This window comes from Homo sapiens, chromosome 15 (genome assembly GCF_000001405.40).
Source record: "Homo sapiens chromosome 15, GRCh38.p14 Primary Assembly".
Taxonomy (NCBI): domain Eukaryota; kingdom Metazoa; phylum Chordata; class Mammalia; order Primates; family Hominidae; genus Homo; species Homo sapiens.
In genome coordinates, this window is record NC_000015.10 from 42555214 (window position 1) to 42581756 (window position 26543).

At 43.4% G+C, this 26543-nt stretch overlaps 2 protein-coding genes and 2 pseudogenes across 20 annotated transcripts in view, besides 3 other annotated features; 3 read left to right on the top strand and 1 right to left on the bottom strand.

The window, feature by feature from the left end:
- The window catches only part of HAUS2 (HAUS augmin like complex subunit 2), a 21157-nt gene extending 6376 nt beyond the window's left edge, over positions 1-14781 (top strand). The window contains exons 2-7 of one of the 7 annotated variants that reach the window (NM_001323631.2): positions 2985-3077; positions 4126-4195; positions 5569-5657; positions 6057-6189; positions 8536-8644; positions 11394-14781. In NM_001323631.2, coding sequence (NP_001310560.1) covers positions 6083-6189; positions 8536-8644; positions 11394-11603 — 426 coding nt within the window. In that variant the 5' untranslated portion in view covers positions 2985-3077; positions 4126-4195; positions 5569-5657; positions 6057-6082 and the 3' untranslated portion in view covers positions 11604-14781. Of the gene's footprint in view, positions 1-2984; positions 3078-4125; positions 4196-5568; positions 5658-6056; positions 6478-8535; positions 8645-11393 lie in introns of those variants that run through there. The other 6 variants (NM_018097.3, XM_017022397.2, NM_001323630.2 and 3 more) reach the window with 6 other exon arrangements.
- Positions 16696-17480, top strand: MYL12BP1 (MYL12B pseudogene 1; annotated as a pseudogene).
- Positions 19901-20530: a silencer, noted in NCBI's record as "silent region_6374". NCBI's record gives its function as "represses an Ori minimal core promoter by ATAC-STARR-seq in GM12878 lymphoblastoid cells {active_cell/tissue: GM12878}" and the evidence as "EXISTENCE:reporter gene assay evidence [ECO:0000049][PMID:35858748]".
- STARD9 (StAR related lipid transfer domain containing 9) overlaps positions 20393-26543 on the top strand; it is a 145393-nt gene continuing 139242 nt past the window's right edge. For all 13 annotated transcript variants that reach the window (XM_011521831.4, NM_020759.3, XM_011521834.4 and 10 more), the window contains exon 1: positions 20393-20549. In XM_011521831.4, coding sequence (XP_011520133.1) covers positions 20503-20549 — 47 coding nt within the window. In that variant the 5' untranslated portion in view covers positions 20393-20502. The remainder of the gene's footprint in view (positions 20550-26543) is intronic.
- Positions 22511-22570: a silencer, noted in NCBI's record as "silent region_6375". NCBI's record gives its function as "represses an Ori minimal core promoter by ATAC-STARR-seq in GM12878 lymphoblastoid cells {active_cell/tissue: GM12878}" and the evidence as "EXISTENCE:reporter gene assay evidence [ECO:0000049][PMID:35858748]".
- On the bottom strand, positions 23431-26497 carry EIF4EBP2P2 (eukaryotic translation initiation factor 4E binding protein 2 pseudogene 2; annotated as a pseudogene).
- Positions 25971-26140: an enhancer, noted in NCBI's record as "active region_9305". NCBI's record gives its function as "activates an Ori minimal core promoter by ATAC-STARR-seq in GM12878 lymphoblastoid cells {active_cell/tissue: GM12878}" and the evidence as "EXISTENCE:reporter gene assay evidence [ECO:0000049][PMID:35858748]".

The following is a 26543-nucleotide window of genomic DNA, read 5'->3' on the forward strand; positions in this document are numbered from 1 at the left end:
CTGACCTCGTGATCTGCCCACCTCGGCCTCCCAAAGTGCTGGGATTACAGCCGTGAGCCACGGCGCCCGGCTGCCTGGCTAATTTTTTTAATTTTTTGTAGAGACAGGGTCTCCCTGTGTTGTGCAGGCTGGTCTCAAACTCCTGGGCTCAAGCAGTTCTCCTGCTTTAGCCTTCCAGAGTGCTGGGATTACAGGTGTGAGCCATCATGCCAGCCTGTATTTCTAAATAAGTATTATGTATGATTATATTACTTCTTCACCAGAAAATGTTCAGTTGCTCCCATTTTCTGCAGTATGATTGTTGAGCATAGCACTCAGGATCATCTATGATTATGTTGGAGACTATGTTTTCAGCTACATCTTACCCCTCTTTTCACATATATGCTAACACTGGTGGTTATTGAGCATTTGTAATGTTTTTGATCTTTCTATCTAGAATACCTTTTTCTTCCCATCCATTATGAGCCTCATGAGGGTAGAGAGCTTGTTTCACTCATATTTGAATATTTCGTTGACTAACTCAGTAAGTGTTCATAAAATTGATTATTTTTGGACAGTAAACTTTTACTATGAAGAGCCAGAGAGTAAATATGTAAGGCTTTGTGGGCCATATGGTTGCAGCTACACAACTAGGTGGTTGTATAAAAGCAGCCAGAGATAGTGTGTAAATGGATGAGAGAAGTCATGTTCCAATAAAACTTTATTTCTGGACCATGAAATTTGAATTTCAGATCATTTTCTTTTCTTTTTTAAGACGGAGTTTCGCTCTGTCACCCAGGCTGGAGTGCAGTGGCGCGATCTCGGCTCACTGCAACCTCTGCCTCCCAGGTTCAAGCAATTCTCCTGCCTCAGCCTCCCAAACTAGCTGACTAGCTGGGATTACAGGCGCCTGCCACCACGCCTGGCTAATTTTTTTTTTTTTTTTTTGAATAGAGACAGAGTTTCACCATGTTGGCCAGGCTGGTCTCAAACTCCTGACCTCAGGTAATCCACTTGCCATGGCCTCCCAAAATGTTGGGATTACAGGTGTGAGCCACTGCGCCCAGGCTTTTTTTTTTTTTTTTTTTTTTTGAGACAGGGTCTCACTCTGTCGCCCAGACTAGAGTGCAGTGGCAATCTCAGCTCACCACAACCTTGTCTCCTAAGCTCAAGCAATTCTCCTGCCTCAGCCTCCCGAGTAGCTGGGATTACAGGTGTGCACCACTCCTGCCTGGCTAATTTTTGTATTTTTAGTAGAGACGGGGTTTCACCATGTTGTCCAGGCTGGTCTTGAACTCCTGACCTCAAATGATCTACCCACCTCGGCCTCCAAAGTTCGGGATTACGGGCATGAGCCACTGTGCCCAGCCTGTTATAAAATATTGTCTTTGATTTTCTTTTTCCCAACAATTTGAAAATATAAAAACCATGCCTGGTTCACAGGCTGTACAAAAACAGGTAATGGGCTGCATTTATTTCATGGACTATAGTTTTCCAGTCCCTGGCCTATCTGATCTCTAAAGTTCTTTGGCCTGGACGCGGTGGCTCACGCCTGTAATCTGGGCACTCTGGGAGGCTGAGGCGGGTGGATCACCTGAGGTCAGCAGTTCTAGACCAGCCAGGCCAACATGGTGAAACCCCAACTGTACTAAAAATACAAAAAAAAAAAAAAAAATTAGCTGGGCATGGTGGCAGTAATCCCAAAAACTCCCAGCTACTTGGGAAGCTGTAATCCCAGCTATTTGGGAAGCTAAGGCAGGAGAATCAGTTGAATGCAAGAGGCAGAGGTTGCAGTGAGCAGAGATGTTGCCATTGTGCTCCAGCCTGGGTGACAAGAGCGAAACTCAGTCGGTGGCTCACGCCTGTAATCGCAGCATTTTGGGAGGCCTAGGTGGGCAGATCATGAGGTCAGGAGATCGAGACCATCCTGGCTAACACAGTGAAACCCCGTCTCTACTAAAAAATACAAAAAAATTAGCCGGGCATGGTGGTGGGCGCCTGTAGTCCCAGCTACTCGGGAGGCTGAGGCAGGAGAATGGCATGAACCCAGGAGGCAGAGCTTGCAGTGAGCCGAGATTGCACCACTGCACTCCAACCTGTGCGACAGAGTGAGACTCCATTTAAAAATATATATATTATATATAATATATATTTTATATATAATATATATTTTATATATATTATATATTTTATATATAATATATATTTTATATATACATTATATAATGTATACATTGTATATAATGTATATTATATATAATATATACATTGTATATAATGTATATTATATATAATATATACATTGTATATAATGTATATATTATATATATATGAAGTTCTTTGCTGTGCTAGCATTCTAGAAAGCAAGATGATAGAGAAAATTATGGATGAAGTCTAGGAATGCACAAGATAATACTCAATTCTGAGATAATGTGCATGGACTCATGGAATGAAAGGATGAAAAAGAAGGGGTAACCTTTTTAAAAGAATAATTATGCCTGGATACAAATAATCCTTTAACTAAAAGATGAGAATGTGAACATACACAGTATGAATGACTTGTAGGCAACTGAGGTCATTTAACGAATCAGATAAATAATTCCATGAAGGCGAAAATATTTGATTTCAACCCCGGAAGCTCTGAGAGACTGGGCCTGAGTCATTTGGAAAGGTAGAGGTGATTCTCCAACAAATTTAGCCTTTGAATCCTTTGATAAACTATCAGTAATACAAATCTATTTTGTATGGTACCTTAGGAAATAATACAAAGGGAGTGTGTTGTTTGTTTCTCTTATTTTTTTTTTAAATATTTGAGCAAGTGATTTGTGATGGTGAAGGTTCTAAAACAGGAATTACACATTGCTACTATTTTACTTTGTACTTCATGTTCAAAGGCAGTGTTGAACATAATATTTTCTCATATTTTAGACTATGGGCATGCTATTCCAATGTACCTAGAAACTTTTTGTGACATTCTGCTACTTTCCTTATTCATTTACCAATAGGAGATGTTAAACATGTCTAAGAAAACAGTTTCTTGTTTTGTGAACTTCACCAGACTACAGCAGATCACAAATATTCAAGCTGAAATCTACCAGGTAAATCATTTTGTTTTCACTTTCTTTTTTTTTTTTTTTTTTTTTTTTGAGACGGAGTCTTGCTCTGTCACGCAGGCTGGAGGCTGGAGTGCAGTGGCACAATCTCGGCTCACTGCAAACTCCGCCTCCCAGGTTCACGCCGTTCTTCTGCCTCAGCCTCATGAGTAGGTGGGACTACAGGCGCCCGCCACCATGCCCGGCTAATTTTTTGTACTTTTAGTAGAGATGGGGTTTCACCATGTTAGCCAGGATGGTCTCGATCTCCTGACCCCATGATCTGCCCGCCTCGGCCTCCCAAAGTGCTGGGATTACAGGTGTGAGCCACTGCGCCCGGCCTGAACTTTTCACTTTCTACTCCTAGTATAGGAAAACAAAAACAAAAGTTGGCCAGATGTAGTGGCTCACACCTATAATCCTCGCACTTTGGGAGGCCAAGGTGGGAGGACTGCTTGAGCCCAGGAGTTTGAGACCAGTGTGGGCAACACAGGGAGATCCCGTCTCTACAAAAAATTTTAAAAGTAACCAGACATGGTGGCACACACCTGTAGTCCCAGCTACTTGGGAGGCTGAGCTGGGAGGATCACTTGAGCCTAGGAAATCGGGGCTGCAGTGAGCCATGTTTGGGCCATTGCACTCCAGCCTGGGTGACAGACGGAGACCCTGTCTCAAAAACAAAAAAACTTTATTGGTTCAAACAGCAATTCCTTTGAACTTAGAACAGTGTCTAGCACATAACTAGCTAGCTACATGTTTACTTACTAATAGTAGTTACAGTAATAGTAGTAAGAGTAGCAGCAGCAGGGCAAGAACAGCAAAATGAAAAACTTCAGTAAATCCCCTGGACTCTTTTTTTTTTTTTTTTGAGACAGAGTCTCACTCTGTCACCCATACTGGAGTGCAGTGGCACAATCTCGGCTCACTACATCCTGACCTCTGGTGATCCACCTGCCTCAGCCTCCCAAAGTGCTGGGATTACAGGAGTGAGCCACCGCACCTGGCCATGGACACTTTCTGATTGAGCTAAATGTTACTTTTGTTCCTCATGTAGAAAAACCTGGAAATTGAACTCCTGAAACTAGAAAAAGATACAGCAGATGTTGTTCATCCTTTCTTTTTGGGTAAGTGGTTTGGTTAAGTGGATAATCACTGGAATTTCAACTTTTTCTTGGATTACTGTAAATAAGCACCAGTCAGTCAAATTATGATACACCATCATTTTTCCAGGTGTTGTCCCAAAGCTAATGAAATCTTGTATTTCTATGCTGAAATAGAAGTTCTGTTGGCTTGAGTAGTACAAATAGCATAAAAAGTCACCAAATTGGCTCTTCAAAGTCAGGAGAACTTGAAAGACAAAGTCTGAGGAACTTTTCAGATTAAAAGAGACTAAAGGGACATGACAACTAAAGCACTGTATGATCATGGATCGATTTTTTATTTTAATGAGATGGGGTCTTCCTATGTTGCCTAGGGTAGTCCTGAATGGCTCAAGCAGTCCTCCCAAATCACCCTCCCAAGTAGCTGGGATCACAGGTACATACCACCATGGCTGGCAATGTTTTGAATATTTGATGAGAAAATGTTCTTGTGGCCAGGCGTGGAGAGTCACGCCTGTAAACCCAGCACTTTGGGAGGCCAAGGTGGGTGGATTGCTTGAGCCCGGGAGTTCAAGACCAGCCAACATGGTGAAACCCTATCTCTACAAAAAAAATACAAAAACTAGCCAGCATTGTAGCATGTACCTGTAGTGCCAGTTACATGAAAGGCTGAGGCAGAAGGATTGTTTGAGCCTGGGAGGTCGAGGCTGCAATGAGTTGTGATCGTAGCACTCCACTCCAGCCTGGGTGACAGAGTGAGACCCTGTCTCAAAAATTAAAATTCTTTTTGCTGTAAAGGACATTATTGGGATACTTAGTGATGTTTAAATATGGACTGTATTAAATATTGGTAGTATTGTATTAATGTTATTTTTTGAATTTGATAATGTGCTGTAGTTATATAGGAGAATGTTCCTCTTCTTGGGAAATACATGCTAACGTTTTACAGGTAAAAAATATCATGCTGTCTGCAGCTTACTCTAAAGTGGATCAGCAAAAATTAGAGAGAGAGAGAGAGAGAGAGAGAAGAGAGAGAAAGAAGATAAAAAGAAAATGTAGCCAAATGTTAATAATCGGTGAATAAGTAAAATGTATGTGTGAGTTCACCAAGCTTTTTTTGAAACTTTTCTGCAAATCTGAATTTTTCCAAAGAAGAATTTTAAAGAAAGGTCAATTGGCAGCCATTAACTGAATGGGGAAAATAATGAGATAATCAGAAATAGCTTGTAGGATGACTTTTTTTTTTTTTTTTAAGAGTGTGTCACTCTGTAACCCAGGCTGAAGTACAGGTCGCTGTAACTTCAACACGTGGTTTCAACTGATTCTCTCAAGTAGCTAGGACTACTGGCATGTGCCACCATGCCCAGCTAATTTTTGTTTTTTCAATTTTTTTGTAGAGATGAAGTCTTGCTATGTTGCCCAGGCTGGTCTCGAACTCATGGCCTCAATTCTCCCGTTTCAGTCTCCCAAAACACTGCGATTACAGGTATGAGCTAGAGCACCAGCTAAGGTGACTCTTTTTCGATGGTCTTTTATAGACTATTAGAGTCAGGGATAGGAAAAAAGACTTTGTGTTAAGAATATAGCTCTGGCTATAAGAACTGAATAAGAAGTAGAGATGAGAAACACAGAGAAAGAATTTAGCACTAGATTTGGTTATCACTAGGAAAAGAGATAATAGAAATATATTAGATATACAAAAACCGACTAAGAGAAAGTTGTTGAAAATGAAATTGGTATTGGTATTAAAGACAGCAAAAAGGAGACAGGAGGGTAATGATAGGATGAATTTTTGACATGGGTAGTGTCAAACCAAGGCAAAGAAGAAATTATTCTGTTATTTGTCCTATTGCTAACTATAATTACTGTTTTTTAATTTGTATAGCTCAGAAGTGTCATACTCTGCAAAGCATGAATAATCATTTGGAAGCAGTGCTGAAAGAGAAGAGATCCCTTAGGCAAAGACTGTTGAAACCCATGTGCCAGGAAAACTTACCTATTGAAGCTGTTTATCACAGGTTAGACTGAAAAGTAGAAATTAACAGTTACACCTGTTTTCTGAGTTTACTTTTTGTTTTGCAGTTACTTTGTAGCAGAATTCATAAAACAATTAGTGATTGTATTTGTTAACATTATTAATGGTGATATATTAAATCAGAAAGAAAATCTTTGCTTTTAAACCATTATACCTATGGCAAAAAGGAAGAACTTGGCCATCGTGTTTTGGGAATTATAAATTATGAGTTTAATGAAAGAAATTAGATCCATAACATGTAACAATAAAAACTGTTTGTATGTGAAGTAAATTCATTGTTGTAAAGTACATTCATTGTTGAGTTAATGTTGCCTATATGTAAAAATTCTATTGGCGGGGTTTAACTGGGGCAGATGAAAACACTATCAACTAAGGGAGGAAAAAACCTGGATTCTGTTCTCATCTCTACTGTTTATATGCCTCAAAGCCTTGAGCAAATGATTTACATTTTTGCCTTAGTTTCCCAATAAATAGAATAGAGATGAGTTCTATTGCCCTCTTCCTCACAGAGTATTACAAGTATCAAATTGAAGATGTAGATTATGACTAATGATAAATACTAGCCTGGACAACATGGCAAAACCCTGTTTCTACAAAAAAAAAAAATATAAAAATTAGCAACACATGATGGAACACACCTGTATTCCTGAGCTGGGAGGGTGACCTGAGCCCAGGAGGTCAAGTCTGCAGTGAGCTGTGATTGCACTAGCCTGGGTGACAGAGTGAGACCCTGTCTCAAATAAATACGAAGCAAGCATCTGGGGATCTCATTGCTAACTTTCTCCGCCAGTGCCTCACTAGCTTAAGCAAATCAGTATCTTAAGTGTCAGATTTTTTATTTTGTAGGAAAATAATAGATATACAAAAACTTATTCTTCCAAAAAAACAAAACAAGGCTGGGCACAGTGGCTCATGCCTGTAATCCCAACACTTTGGGAGGCCGAGGTGGCTGATCACTTGAGGCCAGGAGTTCAAGACCAGCCTGGCCAACATGGTGAAACCCCATCTCTACCAAAACATACGAAATATGCTGGGCATGGTGGCACATGCCTGTAATACCAGCTACTGGTGAGGCTGAGGCAGGAAAATCACTTGAACCCAGGAGGCAGAGGTTGCAATGACCTGAGATTGTGCCACTGCACTCCAGCCTGGGCAACAGGGTGAGACTCTGTCTCAAAACAGAAAACAAAACCCCTTTCTTGTGGCTATATTCAGTATCTGTTTAGTACATTATCATTACCCTTAATGTATATATTGTACTACATCTAAGAACTAGGCAATGATTTGAAAGCATTTTTGCAAGTGCAGAGATTCAAAGTAGCTTTCTATGTAGGCTATTTCAGTTAAGTACATTTATCCTTATTGTCTTCATTCTTCACAGAGAATGAGTAAGTTGAAATGGAATGAGGCCAGGCGTCATGGCTCACGCCTGTAATCCCGGTAATTTGGGAGGCCAAGATGGGTTGATCACTTGAGGCCAGCTGGGAGTTTGAGACCAGCTTGGCCAACATGACAAAACCCTGTGTCTACTAAAAATACAAAAATTAACTGAATATAGTGGTGCACGCCTGTGATCTCAGCTACTCAGGAGGCTGAGGCACAAGAATCACTTGAACCCAGGAGGCAGAGATTACAGTGAGCCGAGATTGTGCCACTGCACTCCAGCCTGGGCAACAGAGTCAGACTCTGTCTCAAAAAAAAAAAAAAAGAAATGGGGCTGGGCAAGGTGGCTCATGCCTGTAATCCCAGCACTTTGGGAGGCCAAGGCTGGTGGATCACAAGGTCAGGAGATCGAGACCATCCTGGCCAACATAATGAACCCCTTCTGCTAAAAATACAAAAATTAGCCAGGCGTGGTGGTGGGCGCCTGTAATCCCAGCTACTTGGGAGGCTGAGGCAAGAGAATTGCTTGAACCCAGGAGGCAGAGGTTTCAGTGAGCCGAGATTGCACCACTGTGCTCCAGCCTGGTGACATAGCAAGACTCCATCTCAAAAAAAAAAAAAAAAAAAGAAAAGAAAATGGAATGGGGTTTTTTTATCTAGGGAGAAAATGATTAACATTGAGGTTTCTCTAACATTAAGTTGGATTCCAGATAGGATTACTGTTGTCTCTTTCCATTTTTTTATTTGGATGACAAGTTGCTTAAAGTGAAAGAGAAGGACCTTTTTTTAATCACTAATATTTCTATGAATGCAGGAAGGTTGTTATTGGCTCTCTAGGTTGATTGTAATTCTTATCTCAAATTAAAAGTCCTGATTAAAGGAGAAGAAAAGGAACGTAAAACAATTAAACTTTAAAAAATGGTTGACTTTTTTCTTTCTCTTTCAGATATATGGTACATTTGCTGGAGTTGGCTGTGACTTTCATTGAGAGATTAGAAACCCACCTTGAAACAATTAGAAATATTCCTCATTTAGCTGCAAATCTAAAGAAAATGGTGAGTATTAATATAGCAATCTTCAGTTATTTTTTACTAGAAACTTAGAGGTGTGCTCTCCCAGTTTAGCTTTTTAATAGCTAATATTACGAGCTAGTTAATTTTTAAATCAAGAAGTATTTTCTTGGCCTGGCATGGTAGTTCACACCTGTAATCCCTGCACTTTGGGAGGCCACAACGGGTGGATCACTTGAGGTCAGGAGTTGGAGACCAGCCTGGCCAACATGGTGAAACTCCATCTCTACTGAAAATACAAAAATTAGCTGGGCATGGTGGTGCGTGCCTGTAATTCCAGCTACCCGGGAGGCTGAGGCAGGAGAACTGCTTGAACCTGGGAGGCAGAAGTTGCAGTGAGCTGAGATCGTGCCAGTGCACTCCATCCTGGGCGACAGCAAGACTCCATCTCCCATTAAAAAAAAAAAAAAAAAAGAAGAAGAAGTGTTTATTTATTTAGACCTTGGATTTAACATTTTCTTTTTTATATAATTTTTATTTAGAAGCCATTTTAAATTATTTTATTCCAACATTTAATAAACATGTGTTGGCTTCATTGTGCCGTGGCTATGCTACATGTATTGTGAAAGATAGATATGACCAATCCCTGCCTTCAAATTCTCAACGTTTGGTGAGACAGCTGTAAAATATACATTTTCTACTTATAGGATTATATTTGCATAATAAATGCAGCAAAGAATTACAAAGAGATGCCATCTATTGAGCATAGAAAAGGGAGGAATTACTTCCAGTTTAGGAGGATTCTGAGTAGGATAGGGATAGGAAGACTTCAATAAAGTTTTTGTTTTGTTTTTTAAATAGAGACGAGTTCTCACTATGTTACCTAGGCTGGTTTCGAACTCCTAAGCTCAAGTGAGGCACCCGCCTCGGCCTCTTAAAGTGCTGAGATCACAGGCATGAGCCACCATGTCCAGCTTTGCAATAAAGATTTATTTAGGTGTTAGCAGTAAGCTGAATCTTTATTTATTTATTTATTTTCTGATATGGAGTTTCACTCTTGTTGCCCAGGCTGGAGTGCAATGGCACAATCTCGGCTCAGTGCAACCTCCGCCTCTTGGGTTCAAGCGATTCTCCTGCCTCAGCCTCCCAAGTAGCTGGGATTACAGGTGCCCACCACCACACCTGGCTAATAGTTTGTATTTTTAGTAGAGACGGGGTTTTGCCATGTTGGCCAGGCTGGTCTCCAACTCCTGACCTCAGGTGATCCACCTGCCTCAGCCTCCCAAAGTGTTGGGATTAAAGGCCTGAGCCACCGCACTTGCCAAAGTAAGCTGAATCTTAAGGAATAAGTGAAATTCGGACATGCATCAGAAAGAATAGTTTGGCCAAAAGGAGCAATGTGAGGAAAGACATAAAAGTCAAAGAACCCAGAGAGTATGGGGGAAAAGTGATACTCCACTTTGGCTGATGCGTAAAGGTATTGAGGAGATTAGCTCAGGGTTAGTTTATGCAGTGCCTTAAAAACCAGACTAATAACCTTAGACTTTACTGTCTGAGTATTGGGGAGCCATTGAATGTGTGTGTGTGTGTGTGTGTGTGTGTGTGTGTGTGTGTGTGTGTTTTCTTTTTTTAGTGAAGGGTGCAGAGGAGTGACTTGATTAGAACTGCCTTAATCATGGAGAAAATATTGGATAGAGCAGACTGAGCCTTGCTACTCTTGAGTATGGGCAGAGAGTATCAACATCACTTGGAAGCTTGTTATAAATACAAAACTACAGACATCATGCACCCTAGAACTTCAGAATCAGAATCTACGTTTTAACAAGTTCCTCAGGTGATTCCTGTGCACATTAAAGTTTGATCAGCTCTGGATTAGAAGACTAGGCAGAGAAACCAAAGGCAGAAAAACCTGGAGACTAATTACCGTCATTCAGATAAAAGATTTAAAGCATAGGAATACAGAAGATAATTTTTTTAGATTTTGGAGGTCACATTTTTAGAACTTGGCTATGAATTGGACAAGGGACACATCAAAAATAATGAAGTTTCTAGTCTGGGTGACTTGAAGGTGAGTAGTATCAAGTGTGGGTTAAAGAAGTTAGTAAGTGGGCTGGGCGCAATGGCTCACACCTGTAATCCCAGCACTTTGGGAGGCTGAGGTGGGTGGATCACGAGGTGAGGAGATCACGACCATCCTGGCTAACATGGTGAAACCCCGTCTCTACTAAAAATACAAAAAATTAGCTGGGCGTGGTGGCACGTGCCTGTAGTCCCACCTACCTGGGAGGATGAGGCAGAAGAATCGCTTGAACCCAGGAGACGGAGGTTGCAGTGAGCTGAGATTGCGCCACTGCACTCCAGTCTGGCAACAGAGTGAGACACCATCTCAAAAAAAAAAAAAAGAGGTTAGTAAGTTTATTTTTTGACACATCTTGCACATGTAGTAAATGGTCAATCATTTTTGAACTGTAGTTAGACTGAGTTTGAGATATTGAAGGTACATCCAGATAGAGATTACCAGTAGTCTTAAATGTGGGCCTGAATTTTAGGAAGGAAGTTAGGTTTAGCAATATAAATTGAGGGTCATCTGCATTGAGTGATTATTGAAGACAAAAGAGTTGAACTCACAAAGAGTAGGTTTGTACTGTAAGAAGTGGGAAAGCACAGTTTTAAGGAGCTTTTGAAGTAAGGGGCTGGAAAAAGATCATGTGTTAACCTTTGGTATCAGTTACTGATGATATAATGAATTAATAAGAGACATAATTTCTCCTGTTTCCCTTTTCAAATGTTACAGAACCAGGCTTTAGCAAAGATGGATATATTGGTGACTGAGACAGAAGAACTGGCAGAGAATATACTCAAGTGGCGTAAACAACAAAACGAAGTTTCGTCTTGTATCCCCAAAATATTAGCTGAAGAAAGTTATCTTTATAAACATGATATTATAATGCCTCCTTTACCTTTTACTTCTAAAGTTCATGTCCAAACTATTAATGCCAAGTAGTCATCAACTTTATTTTTGCTTAATTATGTGTAGTCATATGAAGTCTATTTCTAGTTGACTGTAACATGGGTATTAATAGTCTTTGCTGCTGGTAATACTGAAAGAACCTGCTTTATATTGGAGTATCAAGATCTCAGGTTCATTAAGACCAAACTGACTTTTCCTTTGTTTTTCATATATTTTTATTCTACCTTTCAGTAAAACTAGAGAAGCTAAAAAATAGCCATGACAATTTATTAATATAAGTGAATTAACCATTTCTCAGGTGGGAAATTCTCTTTTTTTAAAAATGTGTGTTTATCGTCTGGTGTGGTGGCTCACACCTGTAATCCTAACACTTGGGGAGGCTGAGGCGGGCAGATCACTTAAACCCAGGAGTTCAAGACCAGCCTGGGTAACATGGTGAAATCCCATATCTACAAAATAAACAAAAAATTAGCCGACCATGGTGGTGCATGCCTGTAGTCCCAGCTATTCGGGAGGCTGAGGTAAGAGGATCACCTAAGCCTGTGAGGTCATGGTTGCAATGAGTCATGATCACGCCACTGCGCTACAGCCTGGGCGACACAGTAAGACCCTGTCTCAAAAAAAAGAAGTGTGTTTCTGGCCAGGCACGGTGGCTCACGCCTGTAATCCCAGCACTTTGGGAGGCCTAGGTGGGCAGATCATGAGGTCAGGAGTTCGAGACCAGCCTGGCCAACATGGCGAAACACCTGTCTCTACTAAAAATACAAAAATTAGGCCGGGCGCAGTGGCTCACACCTGTAATCCCAACACTTTGGGAGGCCGACCCAGATGGGTGGATCACCTGAGGTCAGGAGTTTGAGACCAGCCTTGACAACATGGTGAAACCCCATCTCTGGTAGAAATATAAAAAATTAACCGGGCATGGTGGTGGACGCCTGTAATCCCAGCTACTTGGGAGGCTGAGGCAGAATAATCGCTTGAACCCAGGAGGCAGAGGTTGCAGTAAGCCAAGATCGTGCCTCTGCACTCCAACCTGGGTGATGGAGCAAGACTCCATCTCCAAAAAAATAAAAAATACAAAAATTAGCCAGGCATGGTAGCATGTGCCTGTAATCCCAGCTACTCAGGAGGCTGAGGCAGGAGAATCACTTGAACCCAGGAGGCAGAGGTTGCAGTGAGCCCAGATCGTGCCACCGCACTCTAGCCTGGGCAACAGAGCAAGACTCTGTCTTAAAAAAAAAAAAAAAAGGTGTTTCTGAATTAGAAGGGTCTTCTTGAATCTGAAAATGTCTATGATGATTATTCCTGTGGGAATGTCACTAAGTATGCAGAAAAGAGTAACACAGCCAGCCTGACTTATCCTTTGAAAGGCCTGATTATAAGGTTTGTCCTCAGCTGTTGCATCTGGGAACTTAGATATCAGAAGGTATCTTAGTCTGTTCTGCTGTCATAACAGAATTACACAAACTAAGTATTTTATAATGAACAGAAGTTTATTTGGTTGACAGGTGTGGAGGCTAGGCAGTCCAAGAACATGGTGCCAGCATCTAGTGAGGGTCTTGCCATGGCAGAAGGCACCACATGGCAAGTGAGCATGAGAAAGATATATGGGTCTAAACTTAGCCTTTTATCATGAGCCCACTCCCAAGATAGCAGCACTAATTCATTAATGAGGGCAAAGCCCTCCTTACCTAATTACTTTTTAAAGGTCTCATAACACTTTTACAATGTCAATTAAATTTCCAACACTTGAACTTTGGGGGACATATTTAAACCTTAACAGGAGGGCTCCACTCACTGAAAAGAGTCGTTCATGGTAGCTAACCTGTGGTTTGTGCTGAAAACCTGCTTTCTTCCTGGGAGTCTAGAATTTTGGTACATGGTAGGTAGAAGGTACCTACGTGACCAGCCCCCAGTAAAAACCCTGGGCACTGTATCTCTAACAAGTTTCCCTGGTAAACAACATTTCTCACATGTTGTCACAATTCAGTTGCTGGTGGAATGAAACAACAGATATGTGTGACTCCACTGTTAGAGGACTCTGGAAGCTTATACCTGGTTTCCCCCAGACTTTGCCTCTGTACCTTTTCTCTTTGCTGTTTTGCTTCATATGCTTTTGCTGTAATAAATCATAGCTGTGTGATGATATGCTGAGTCTTGTGAATTCTCCTAGCAAATCATGGAACCTGGAGGTAGTCTTGGAGACCCTGGCATACAAAGCAGTTCCTAAGTGTTTACTGGTAGCTGTAGGAATAGGCAAAGAAGAAACAGCAAAGAAAAAGGCACACTGTGGTATAACTTTGGAGGTTTACCTTGCAAAATGCTCAGATATTTTACCTATCAGAGGTTATTGTGCATATAATAGAGAGTGATATACTAACAACTGCCTCAGGATATACTCTTTTTAATCAGTATTGTAACTAACCTTGGCTTATTTTACTTTTAGACTTGGGGTTCTATTTTGCTTTAAAACATGTACATCAGTTTTGTTTTTTGTTTTGTTCTTTTCTTTCCTTTTTTTTTTTTTTTTTTTAAAGACAGGATCTCACTCTGTCACCCAGGTTGCTGAGAGTGTGGTGTGGCCCAATCTTGACCTCACTGCAGCCTTGACCTCTCAGGCTCAAGTGATCCTCCCACCTCAGCCTCCCAAGTAGCTGGGACTATAGGCACGCGCCACCACGCCTGGCTAATTTTTGTATTTTCTGTAGAGACAGAGTTTTGCCATGTTGTTGAGGCTGGTCTTGAACTCCTGGGTTCAAACGACCCTCCCGCCTCAGCCTCCGAAAGTGCTGGGAGTACAGGTGTTAGCCACTGCGCCTGGCCTCATTGTACTCCTTAACACAAGAAGACTTCAACAATGATAAGTAGTTGTTTATAAGGAAGCAGGATCATTACCAAAATAAATCCTGCTAAAACAACAGGAATCATGTTTTAAAGCCTAGTTTGCTAATTTTTGCTAGTAGGATAAGAGTGATCGTAATATCTCGAACATTACATAGACACTTAAAACCTTTAGTTGTATTTCATCAAAAATCTGTTCATACCCCACGTTGGTTTCAAAACATACTATGCTTTTTCTTCGTGTTATTTCCTATATTCATTTTTGTGTGTATGTGTATGTCACAAATATTGATATGCCTGGTTGTTTATTTTTGTTTTCTATTATGCCTTTTTCAAAATATAAAAATAAACTTGTAATTTCTAACTAAAATTTTTTAGTCCTAGTCTGAATTTAAAGTGATAGAAAGGACTGATGCACTGTTTAACTTATACAGTATAGGCATATAGGCTCTCAGAATCAAAAGAGCTTGAGGTAAGTTAAGCCTGAGGTCTACTTCAAAGAGAAAGCTAATTTAATACTCTTCCAGAGTCAATCAGTGCTGATTAATTTTTCTTTAATTATTCAACTTTTAGATGTGTGGATATTAAAAAAAAATTAGCTCTGCATGCCTTTTTTTGTTGTTGTTGTTGTTCTTGTTTTTTAGATGGTCTTGCTCTCACCCAGGCTGGAGTGCAGTGGCACAATCATAGCCCACTGCACTCTGAACCTCCTGGGCTCAATGGATCCTTCCACCTCAGCCTCCCAAGTAGCTGGGACTACAACTGTGCCCCACCACACCCAGCTAACTTTTAAATTTTTTTGTTGAGATGAGGTCTCGTCGTGTTGCCCAGGCTGGTCTTGAACTCCTGGGTTCAAGCAATCTTGGCCTCCCAAAGTGCTGGGATTACAGGTGTTAGCCCCTTGCACCTAGCCTGAATGTCTGTGTTTCCTACTTACACTAGAAGAGGTGTGTGAGATTTGCAAATTTATTGCCAGCATAACAGTGATGCCAGTTTGTGAAGACCATTCTGGAGGAATTGAGATGCTGCCTGGTTTTCCTAGCATTTTTCTTATTTTCTTTCTTTCTCTATGTGACTCTACCAGTCTGACCCCTGATTTATCCTCTGAAACCCTCAATGAAGTCAGGAACAGTCTGAGGAATAGCAGAACCTAAAAGATTTCTTGACATGCAAAATCTATAATAGAGTTGAGATTTTAATAAGACTGTAATTAGTGTATTGTGGGATTTCTTCACATATCTGTAAAACACATGAATTTACATAAAAGATTTATCTCACAATTTGGGGAATCCACTAATTGAGTTTACTAAAAAAATTATGCATTAGACCCTTGAACAATATAAGCTTGAAGTGCATATGCAATTTTTTTTTTTTTTTTGAGACAGGGTCTCACTGTCACCAGGCTGGAGTGCAGTAGTGTCATCTCAGCTCACTGCAACCTCCGCCTCCTGGGTTTGAGCAATTCTCCTGCCTCGGCCTCCCAAGTAGCTGGGATTACAGGTGCACACCACCATGCCCGGCTAATTTTTGTATTTTTAGTAGAGACAGGGTTTCACCATGTTGGCCAGGATGGTCTCGATCTTTTGACCTCGTGATCCACCCACCTCGGCCTCCCAAAATGCTGGGATTACAGGAGTGAGCCACAGTGCCCAGCCACAATTTTTTTTTCAATAAATATATTGGAAATTTGGAGCTTTGTGACAACTTGAAAAATTCACAGGTCAGGCACAGTGGCTCACGCCTGTAATCCAGCACTTTGGGAGGCGGAGGCGGGTGGATCACCTGAGGCTGGGAGTTCAAGACCAGCCTGAGCAACATGGAGAAACCCCGTCTCTACTAAAATTACAAAATTAACCAGGAATGGTGGCACATGCCTGTAATCCCAGCTGCTTGGGAGGCTGAGGCAGGAGAATTGTTTGAACGCGGGAGGCGGAGGTTGCAGTGAGCTGAGATGGTGCCATTGCACTCCAGCCTGGGCAACAAAAGCAAAACTCTGTCTCAAAAAAAAAAAAAGAAAAAGAAAAATTCACAGATGAACTGTGTGGCCTACAGATATCTTGAATGCAAAAAATATATATAGATACAAGTCTATCATTTACTACCACAAAACACACAAATCAATTAAAAGTTAAATTTTATGAAAACACAGACTGTACGTGTAAGCAAATTTAAAATGCAGTATTAAATCATAACTCTATAGCCGCCACTGTCCGGCCACAGCCCCACACTCTTCACTGTCGCTCGTCATCTCGCACAGGGTGGCTCCAGTTGTGGTGTTTGGCGCCAGAATTAAACCACCACCATGTCGAGCAAAAAGGCAAAGACGAAGACCACCAAGAAATGCCCTCAGTGCACAATATCCAATGTGTTTGCCATGTTTGACCAGTCACAGATTCAGGAGTTCAAAGAGGCCTTCAACATGATTGATTAGAACAGAGATGGTTTCATCAACAAGGAAGATTTGCATGATATGCTTGCTTCTCTAGGGAAGAATCCCACTGATGCATACCTTGATGCCACGATGAATGAGGCACCAGGGCCCATTAATTTCACTATGTTTGGTGAGAAGTTAAATGGCACAGATCCTGAAGATGTCATCAGAAATGCTTCTGCTTGCTTTGATGAAGAAGCAACAGGCACCATTCAGGAAGATTACCTGAGAGAGCTGATGACAACCATGGGGGATCAGTTTACAGATGAGGAAGTGGATGAGCTGCACAGAGAAGCACCTATTGACAAAAAGGGAAATTTCAATTACATCGAGTTCACAAGCATCCTGAAACATGGAGTAAAAGACAAAGATGACTGAAAAGAACTTTAGCTAAAACCTTCCAATTACATTGTCTTACTCTGTTTTATTTCTCACACACTTCCCCCACCCTCATAGAACCTGTTGCATGCAACTTAGTTTCACAGCTTTGCCTTTTTTTAAAAATGTATTTATTCCAGACCTTTCTGCCACTTAGCACTTGTATAATCAGACTGGAAATGGTGATGACGCCATAAATTGTATTGAAAAAGAGATCGCCAATAAAAATCAACAAATGTGAAAGCCCCCCCAAAAACATAACTCTATAAACTAGTACGTACTGTACTACTGTAATTTTGTAACTGCCTCCTGTTTTAGTGAGTCAAGTGTTGCCAGCATCTGCTTAAAACTCTGTGATGCTAATCATCATAGCAGTTCCTCTCTTCAGTAAACTGTGTATCACAATAAAAAGTGATCTCTTGAGGTTCTTGGGTGTTTTTCACCGTATTCAGTGCAATATCATAAGCCTTGAATAACATCAGGGGACCAGTACCAAGTGCCACTAGTGATGCTGGAAGTGCTCCCAAGAAGCAGAGAAAAGTCATGACATTACAAGAAAAAGCTGAATTGCTTGATATGTACTATAGATCTGCAGCTGTGGTTGCCTACCATTTCATGATAAATGAATCCATTGTAAGGACCATTGTAAAATTTAAAAAAATTGTGCAGCCATGACCACAGCTACACCAGGAGGCACAAAAACCTTGAGCTTTTTGTGAAATACCTTTTTATAGTTTATTTTTATTTTTTAATTTGTGTAGAGATGAGGTCTCACCATTTTGCCCAGGCTGGTCTCAAACTACTAGGCTCAAGCAATACTCCTACCTTGGCCTCCCAAAGTGCTGGGATTACAGGCGTGAGCCACTGTGCCCGGCCCTGAAATGTCTTTTTATCTCATATTGAAAATGCAGCTTTTGGCAAGGTGCAGTGACTCATGCCTGTAATCCCAGCACTCTGGGAAGCCGAGGTGGGCAGATCACCTGAGGTCAGGAGTTTGAGACCAGCCTGGCCAACATGGTGAAACCCCATCTCCACTGAAAATACAAAAATTAACCAGGCATGGTGGTGCACAGCTGTAATCCCAGCTACTCGGGAGGCTGAGGCAGAAGAATCGCTTGAACCCAGGAGGCAGAGGTTGCAGTGAGCTGAGATAGTGCCACTGCACCCCAGTCTGGGCAACAGAGCAAGACTCTGTCTCAAACAACAACAACAACAACAAAACAACCAAAAACACACAACAACAACAACAAACAGAAAATGAAGCTTTTATGTGGGTACAGGATTGCTGTAAGAAAAACATACCTGGCCAGCGTGGTGGCTCACACCTGTAATCCCAACACTTTGGGAAGCAGAGGTGGTCAGATTGCCTGAAGTCAGGAGTTCAAGACCATTCTGGCCAACATGGTGAAACCCCGTCTCTACTAAAAATACAAAAAAATTAGCTGGGTGTGGTGGCACACGCCTGTAATCCCAGCTACTCGGGAGGCTGAGGCAGGGGAATTGCTTGAACCAGAGAGTTGAAGGTTGCAGTAAGCCAAGATCGCGCCACTGCACTCCAGCCTGGGCGACAGAGTGAGACAACATCTCAAAAAAAAAAAAAAAAAAAAAAAAAAAAAAAAGGAAAACATACCTATCTATATACCTATATACTCTTAATATGATTTGAGAACAAGCAAAGTCATTATATGACAACTTGAAGCAAAAGGAAGGTGAAGGATCCAAACAATTTTATGCCAGTAAGGGATGATTTGATAAATTTGGAAAGGTTTGGTTTAAAATATGTCAAGATAACAAGAGAAGCAGCTTCTGCTGACCAAGAGGGAGCAAATGAGTTCCTAGACACCATTAAGGAAATAATTGAGAAGAAAGGGTATCTGCCTGAACAGCTTTTCGGTGCATATGCAAGTTCCCTATTCTGGAAAAATAAATGCCACAAAGGACATTTATTAGTAAGGAAGAGAAGCAAGCACCAGGATTTAAGGCAGGAAGGGATACGCTAATATTTTGTGCAAATGCAGTTGGGTTTATGATCAGCACTGCCCTTATCTATATGGCTGCTAACCCTCAAGCCTTGAAGGGAAAAGATAAACACCAGCCACCTGTCTTTTGGTTGTACAAGAAGACCTGGACAATAACCCTTTATCTGAATTGGTTCCATCTATGCTTTGTCCCTGATGTCAGGAAGTACCTTGCCAGTAAGGGACTGCCTTCTATTTTTTTATTTTATTTTTTTTAGACAGGGTTTTGCTCTGTCGCCCAGGCTGAAGTACAGTGGCGCGATCCAGGCTCACTGCAGCCTCCGCCTCCAGGGTTCAAGTAATTCTCCTGCCTCAGCCTCCCGGGTAGCTGGAATTACAGGCGCACGCCAACAGGCCCGGCTAATTTTCGTATTTTGAGTACAGACGGGGTTTCACCAGGTTGGTCAGGCTGAACTCGAACCCCTGACCTCAGGTGATCTCGCTTCAGCCTCCCAAAGTGCTGGGATTACAGACGTGAGCCACTGCACCCGGCCTGCCTCGAAAATTTAACCACAGAATTGACAGTTCAAGCGAACGCAGAGAATAAAAGTATTTAGCAAATTACTTTGCAAACTTTCGGACCAAAAGTTGATTTACTTGACTTTACATAGCACGGACACCTAGTCGAGGAACAAAAACTATTTCTGGGTAAGCGGGGCCAGGAACAACAGACTTAGCACTGAGTCCTCGCGGCCCACTCGGCTCAGGATTGGCTGAAGCTGGGCCGGCACTGCTGGGCCCGGTGCGGCACGCGCATGGGTGGGGGCGTCCCAAGAGGCTGTAGGGCGGAGCGAGGCGGGGCGAGCCCGGGCGTCCTCCCGCCCACCGACTAGCCAAGGCTCGGCGGGCACCACCCAGCTCGGGATGCAGCGCGTGTTTGGGCGGGGGCGACCCGGGAGGCTTCGGATGGAACGAGGCGGAGCGAGCCCTGGCATCCTCCCGCCCACCAGGCTAAGGACTGGCCGAACGTCCACACGGGCCCGCCTGCTCTGGCTGCGGCGCGTGTTTGGGCGGGGGCGAGTCAGGAGGCTTTAAGGAGGATTGAGGGGAGGCGGGGCCGGGAGTTCTCCCGCCCACCGGGCTCAGGATTGGCCGAAGCTAGGCAGGCACCGCCCCGCTCGGGCGGCAGCTCGCGTCCGCGCGGCGGCGTCCCCAGAGGCGCGTGGGGCGGGCGGGGCTGGGTTGGGGCTGTGTCTGGGCTTAGGGCGGGGGCCTGGGATGCTGCCGCTGAGCTGACCCGCTGGACTTGGGTTGTGGCAGACGGATGGCGAACGTGCAGGTCGCCGTGCGGGTCCGGCCGCTCAGCAAGAGGTGAGTCTCCGCGGGAGAGGGCGCCTGAGGCTTCACAGGAGCTGAAAAGAGCGGGAGGTCCGCGTCTCCCCCTGCAGAGATTCTGGCGCGCAGAAATCGGTGACAAAGTGACCCGGGGGGTCGGGGTCCGGAATCCACGGAGGCCTGGCGGGACGGGACCTCAGTCGAGCTTTCGCGTTGTGTCCTGGGGATAGCGGTTCCCGGACGGCCGCGGGAGGGCTGCCCTGGGTGAGCGTCGCTGGCGTCCTGCCAGCAGGAGTTTCGAGGGACGGCGGCTCGAGGCTTGCTGCATCGGGTTGGGCCTTTGAGAAAGGCTGGGAGAGGGATGAGCATTCTCCTCTCTCTTTCTGGGGGCTTGGGAGTACCCATGAGGACTGAGGCTGAATGGTGTGTGTTTCTGGGTGCGCGTGGGCTTCTCTGCGAAGATGTGGAGAAAGCAGAAGGTGAGGGCGTGAGGGGGAAATTGAGGCCGACACAGGTCGCGGTTTCTTTCTATGCTCGACAGCTGATTTAATCCAGGACGGAACTGTTAAGTAGGGGAAGTTGTTCCAACCCCTTCTTTCTCTCAGAGCCCTCAGTGCCCGTTTTCTCGTGGCTTATTTTGATTCCGCACCTCTCATCTCAGCCCTTGAGACATCCAGTGTGCAGCCACGAACTTTTTTCTCTTTGTCACCAGATGAAGTGTTTTTTAAAGATCAATTAGAGTTTGTTGACAGGTGGAGAGAGTTTAAAGAGCCTTCTATGTAGTAAGACCGCCAAGAGCAAAGGACTTAGACTGTAAGGGACTAACTAGAGGTTAAGTTTTGGTGGGGAAAGGGTGGTTGGTGTGGAGGGAAGTGAGTGGTGGAAGGTAAATCTGGCAGAGGGTGCTTTGGGGACCAGGAGGCACATGTTGGAATTATTTGGCAAGTTTAAAAATCTCTGGGACATAAGATAGCTTGATAATTGGGCAGAAGGATCAAGAAAGGTATCGTCTCCCATAATAAAATTGGGTACTAGTGTGGATTATGTTCGTCCTCATATAGAAATGATTGGCTTTGAAAAGTCTTGTAATTGACAGACTAATGAGAAGAGCAATGAGATAGAAAGAAACAAAAAGTTAAAGAGAATAGGAAGAAGGCAAAAGAGGTACACTGAAGAAAGAGGGAAAGCAGATGCCTGACCTGCTGCGTTTTGATTGGTAAATGGCTTGTGACACCTGGCTTCTTCATAACTGGATGTGGTAGCTCAGGGCTGGGGGGGGTTTTATAAGTGCAGATGCTATGCTGGAGGTAGTCTCTGGTATATTCTGTATTTGTGAAACTGTTCTTTTAGGGTTCTCAGGATAACAGTATTGACCACTCCTAACATTCAGTAACTTCTCAGTTCCTTGGACACTAGGAATTTCTTTCTTTTTTCTTTTTTTTTTTGAGATGGAGTCTCGCTCTGTCGCCCAGGCTGGCGTTGAGTGGCGCGATCTCGGCTCACTGCAAGCTCCGCCTCCCGGGTTCACGCCATTCTCCTGCCTCAGCCTCCCCAGCAGCTGGGACTACAGGCACCCGCCACCATGCCCGGCTAATTTTTTGTATTTTTAGTAGAGATGGGGTTTCACTGTGTTAGCCAGGATGGTCTCGATCTCCTGACCTCGTGATCTGCCCGCCTGGGCCTCCCAAAGTGCTAGGATTAGAGGCGTGAGCCACTGCGCCCAGCCGGACACTAGGAATTTATAATAGCATGAATTAGATTAAGAAAATGATGCTGAAATTGGTTTACTTGCAGCCACAGTAGAGAATAACATACCAAACAAAAGTGAAGGGAAAATGAAAGCACAATTTATTTACTTTCAGCTCAAGTTAAGAGCCTTGAGCAGCAAGTGGTAGGATGTCAAGACTGTAGATACCCAGGTGTGAACAGATTGTAGCAGGCTGAAGATTCAGGAGCAGATACAGATAAACCCAGTGTGGCCCCAGCCAAGAGGTCCGGATCACTTCCCTCTTCTCACAGAATCCTGCAGAGATGGCAGCTGTTCTTCAGGGGGTGTTATACTGTCTTCATTGAGGCTTATCTGAATGTGGGGAATCTGGTGATTATGTGGTTTGTTCCAACCTTCAAATAAGTCATTGGCACACACTCAGTTGACAGTCATTGGATCTGATGTTGTGCTTGGGAAGAAATCTTACAGATGATCTGGCCCAAGCTTCTATTTTTTGTTTTTCCAGATGACAGAATGGTTTGGCTTAAGTTCTAAAAGTAGTAAGAGCCAAGATTTGATTCATTAGACCTACTGCTCTTTCTGAGATTACAGAAAAGTTGCATTTGTGTCTCAAGTGCCTATTTATTCAGTAGGACTAGAGTTGACGCTCAATTTTTTTTTTTTTTTTCTTTTGGAGATGGAGTCTCACTCTGTCACCCAGGCTGGAGTGCAATGGCGCGATCTCAGCTCACTGAAACCTCCGCCTCCTGGGTTCAAGCGATTCTCCTGCCCCAGCCTCCTGAGTAACTGGGATTATAGGCGCCTGCCACCATACCTAGCTGATTTTTGTATTTTTAGTAGAGACGGGGTTTCACCATGTTGGCCAGGCTGGTCTCAAACTCCTGACCTCACCTGCCATGGCCTCCCAAAGTGCTGAGATTATAGGCATGAGCCACCACGCCCAGCCTGACCCTCAATAAAATGATACTGCTGTATAGGAAATGGTTTTGATGTCCTCCCCTCTACCTCACAGTTTCCCATAATCAGAAATTGCATATCTCATTATGAAATTGCTGCCCTTTGTCTACTCCAATTAACCATTATGAGAACACATCTGATCTGCCAATACTGTAGGCTCTAGAAGACTATTTGCCCTGTCAAAACTTACTCTTTACCCACTGTATAGCTTTGTTTTTTTTTTTTTTTAAAGTTTTTCCAAGAATATGTAAAATGAGATTTGGAGTTTAATTAAAGTCAGAACAGGGATACATTAAACAAACAGAAGATACTTTTCTGATTATCAGTTTTTGAGACTCAAAGCATCCCCAAAACATTGGAGATCCAGCTTATTCCTGAGAGACATCAATCATCACAAAAGGTTTTCACTCTGAACTATTCACATTTTTGTAGCAGAAAACAGAACAAAGTTCTGCAGACATCCTTCCTTTCTTCTTTCTAAAATGTGTTCACAAACAGGGTCTTTTCATAGTTCAAAAGGAAAACAAACAGGTTTCTTTCTTGGCCAAATGGCTTATTACTCTCACCCTGGGATCTGATTTCTTACTAAGAAAGTTCAGGGCACCAAATCCAACCAGAAATTCCCAGGACACCAATGGCTACTTAACTATGAGGGGATGGATGCTTTAATCTTTCTATGAGGGGAGTCATTCTCCTGGGATTATTATGCCCATCAGTAGTCCCAGGAGAGGTAGGTGGGAAGGAGGGTGAATGCAAAAGCTAAAGGGTCAGAGAAAAGAATGAGGCTTTCATGAACAACCCATAACAAGGCAGAATGGTCGTTTTACAAACCAACCACTACAAACTCCAAACATGCACACCCAAAACTAGAGGGGAAAATAAAGAGCTCCTGGGGGATGAGAGGAGACAAAACATGGTCACATAGAACAGCAGACTCGCCTGTGAACATTTCTCACCTTCTTAACACTGGAAGATGTTTAATTAAAAAGTTGCTGTTCAAAATGGTACTGAAAACATATCTAAAAATAGGTCTGTAGTCATCTTAAAAATAAAAGGTCACTTCTCAGATAAGAGGAGTGACAGATATTCTCAGATACTAACACTTGAGCTGTCTTTGATGTAAATTTGTAAAATGGCCAGGTAGAGAAAAAGGAAGGAAAGGAAGGAGAGAGGAAGACAGTGAGGGAGGTAGGGAGGGAAATTCAGAGTACGATAGGAAAGGCAAGAAAACTGGAAGAACACATTTTTTAAGCCCATGCTTATCTATCCCAGCAGCCAAACAAAGCAGATCCACAAAGGAAAAAAAATGCAGTTCTTTTCTAAGAACATTCTGAAAATCAACTTCAAACTCAAAACATAAGAAACTGCAATCTGAGAACAACTATCACAATGCTCACTGGACTTAAAAATGACTACTGAGACTGGGTACTCAAATGGGTCAACACTCTTCAGAGGTCATTCTTAGGCATTATCTGACACAATACTATGATCAGGCGTTACCCACCAAGTGGAGGCTAAAGTGCCTCTATTACTTGGTGTGGACCTGCTCTAGGAGCAGACAAAATCACTTCACTTTCTTGAAGTACAAGAGGACTCTGCCAGCAACAAGATGCAAGCAGGGAGGAATGGCAGAAGAAGAGCAAGACTGGTTATCAAGGGCTCTCTTCTGATGTACAGAGTTAAAAATACCTGCACAAATGTGCTAAGTAAAAGAATGGGAAGATGAACTATAATACCAAAGACAGAAGACATTCCTCCCAGAGGAAAGAAGGGAAGAGGACCTCAAAACAGTGTCACAGGGTAATGCTACCAGAGTTGCACAAACTGTGCTCTGTCCCAAGGGACAAATACCTCAAGGTAAAAGGAAAAGCAGCTCTCTTTTTTATCATTCCCCCCTGCTAGTTTTAAAGACCCCAAGCCCAGAATCTTGCAACACTGAACCATAGGTGGGATACAAAGGAACATGAATGGTGTTAGGCCCACCAAGCCTCTGTATCCCTTCCTCAGACTTCCCCATTTCTTCCCAAGCACAACAACAAGAAGCCAGGCAGTTGTAGGTTGGTATTTGATTTGGAACAAAAATGAGGGGTATGAGGGTGGCTCTCAATAAAAAAAAACAACTAGAAGGCGTGGTGGCTCACGCCTGTAATCCCAGCACTTTGGGAGCCCAAGGCAGGAGGATCACAAGGTCAAGAGTTCGAGACCAGCCTGGCCAGTATGGTGAAACCCCGTCTCAGCTAAAAAATACAAAAAGCCCGGCGTGGTGGCGGCCACCTGTAGTCCCAGCTACTCAGGAGGCTGAGGCAGGAGAATCGCTTGAACCCGGGAGGCAGAGGTTGCAGTGAGCAGAGATCATGCCACTGCACTCCACTCCAGCCTGGGCAACAGAGCAAGACTTTGTCTAAAAAAAAAACTAGGAAAGCCAGAGTTTAACTGTTTTCCTCTAAGGACTGCTTAGCGCTACAGAAATACACCAAGGGCCTTCAATCTAACTTGTTTAACTGGGAAGGGGGACAGGAGACAGGGAGAAGAAATGGTCAGATGAAGCTCATCTTCCCATCATTTGGCACCCAGAGGAAGAGTGGGAGACGGAGACTGTAATGGGGACTGCTGGTATTGCCTCTTCTGTCTTTTCACTGTTGATCCTATTGGCCAAATCAGGTGCACACAGGTACCAGTGTTGCTGCTTTTCTTCTAATCCTTGCAGGAGAGTCAGATGCCCATCTCCAACTGAGCATCACCCCCCAGCTGCATGTTTCCTGTCATGATTGTTCAAGTTGTTCAAATTATTGACTTCTACTTGTGGAGTCTTCAGTTAAGGTGCCAGGGCTAGTGACTCCCGGGATATTGGGCAGATGGCAGGTGGGGTCTGAGCCATGGAAGAACTGCGAAGATCCAACAGAAACTTTCTATCATAAATGATTTGAGTTTCTCCTGGTGTGGTGGAGAAGAGCGTCCCCTCGGGCGTGGTGCAATAGTCAAGAGGTAGCTGCGCGGCGTCGCTGATGGCCACGGTGTGGGTGGGGAAGGCGCGGCTCTGGCTGGGCTGGTGGCCGCTGCCAGCGGAGGAGGACATGGCTGTGGACGCGGGCTCTGGGCTTTGTGTGGCGGGTAGGCGGCGGCGCCGGGCCGGTCTGCTCCAGCTCCTAGGGCGGGTGGAAAAGCGAGCTCTGCGCACTCCTCGCTCGCTTCCTCTAGTTCCCTCGTCTGGCTCCGCCCCTGCCGCCAGCCGATCCTCGGGCCTCGCCAGCAGCCTCAGCAGCAGCAGCAGCGGCGGCGACGACCACGATGACAGGAAACCTACATAGCTTTTTTTGTTTTTTGTTTTTAAGTCTGTAAAATAG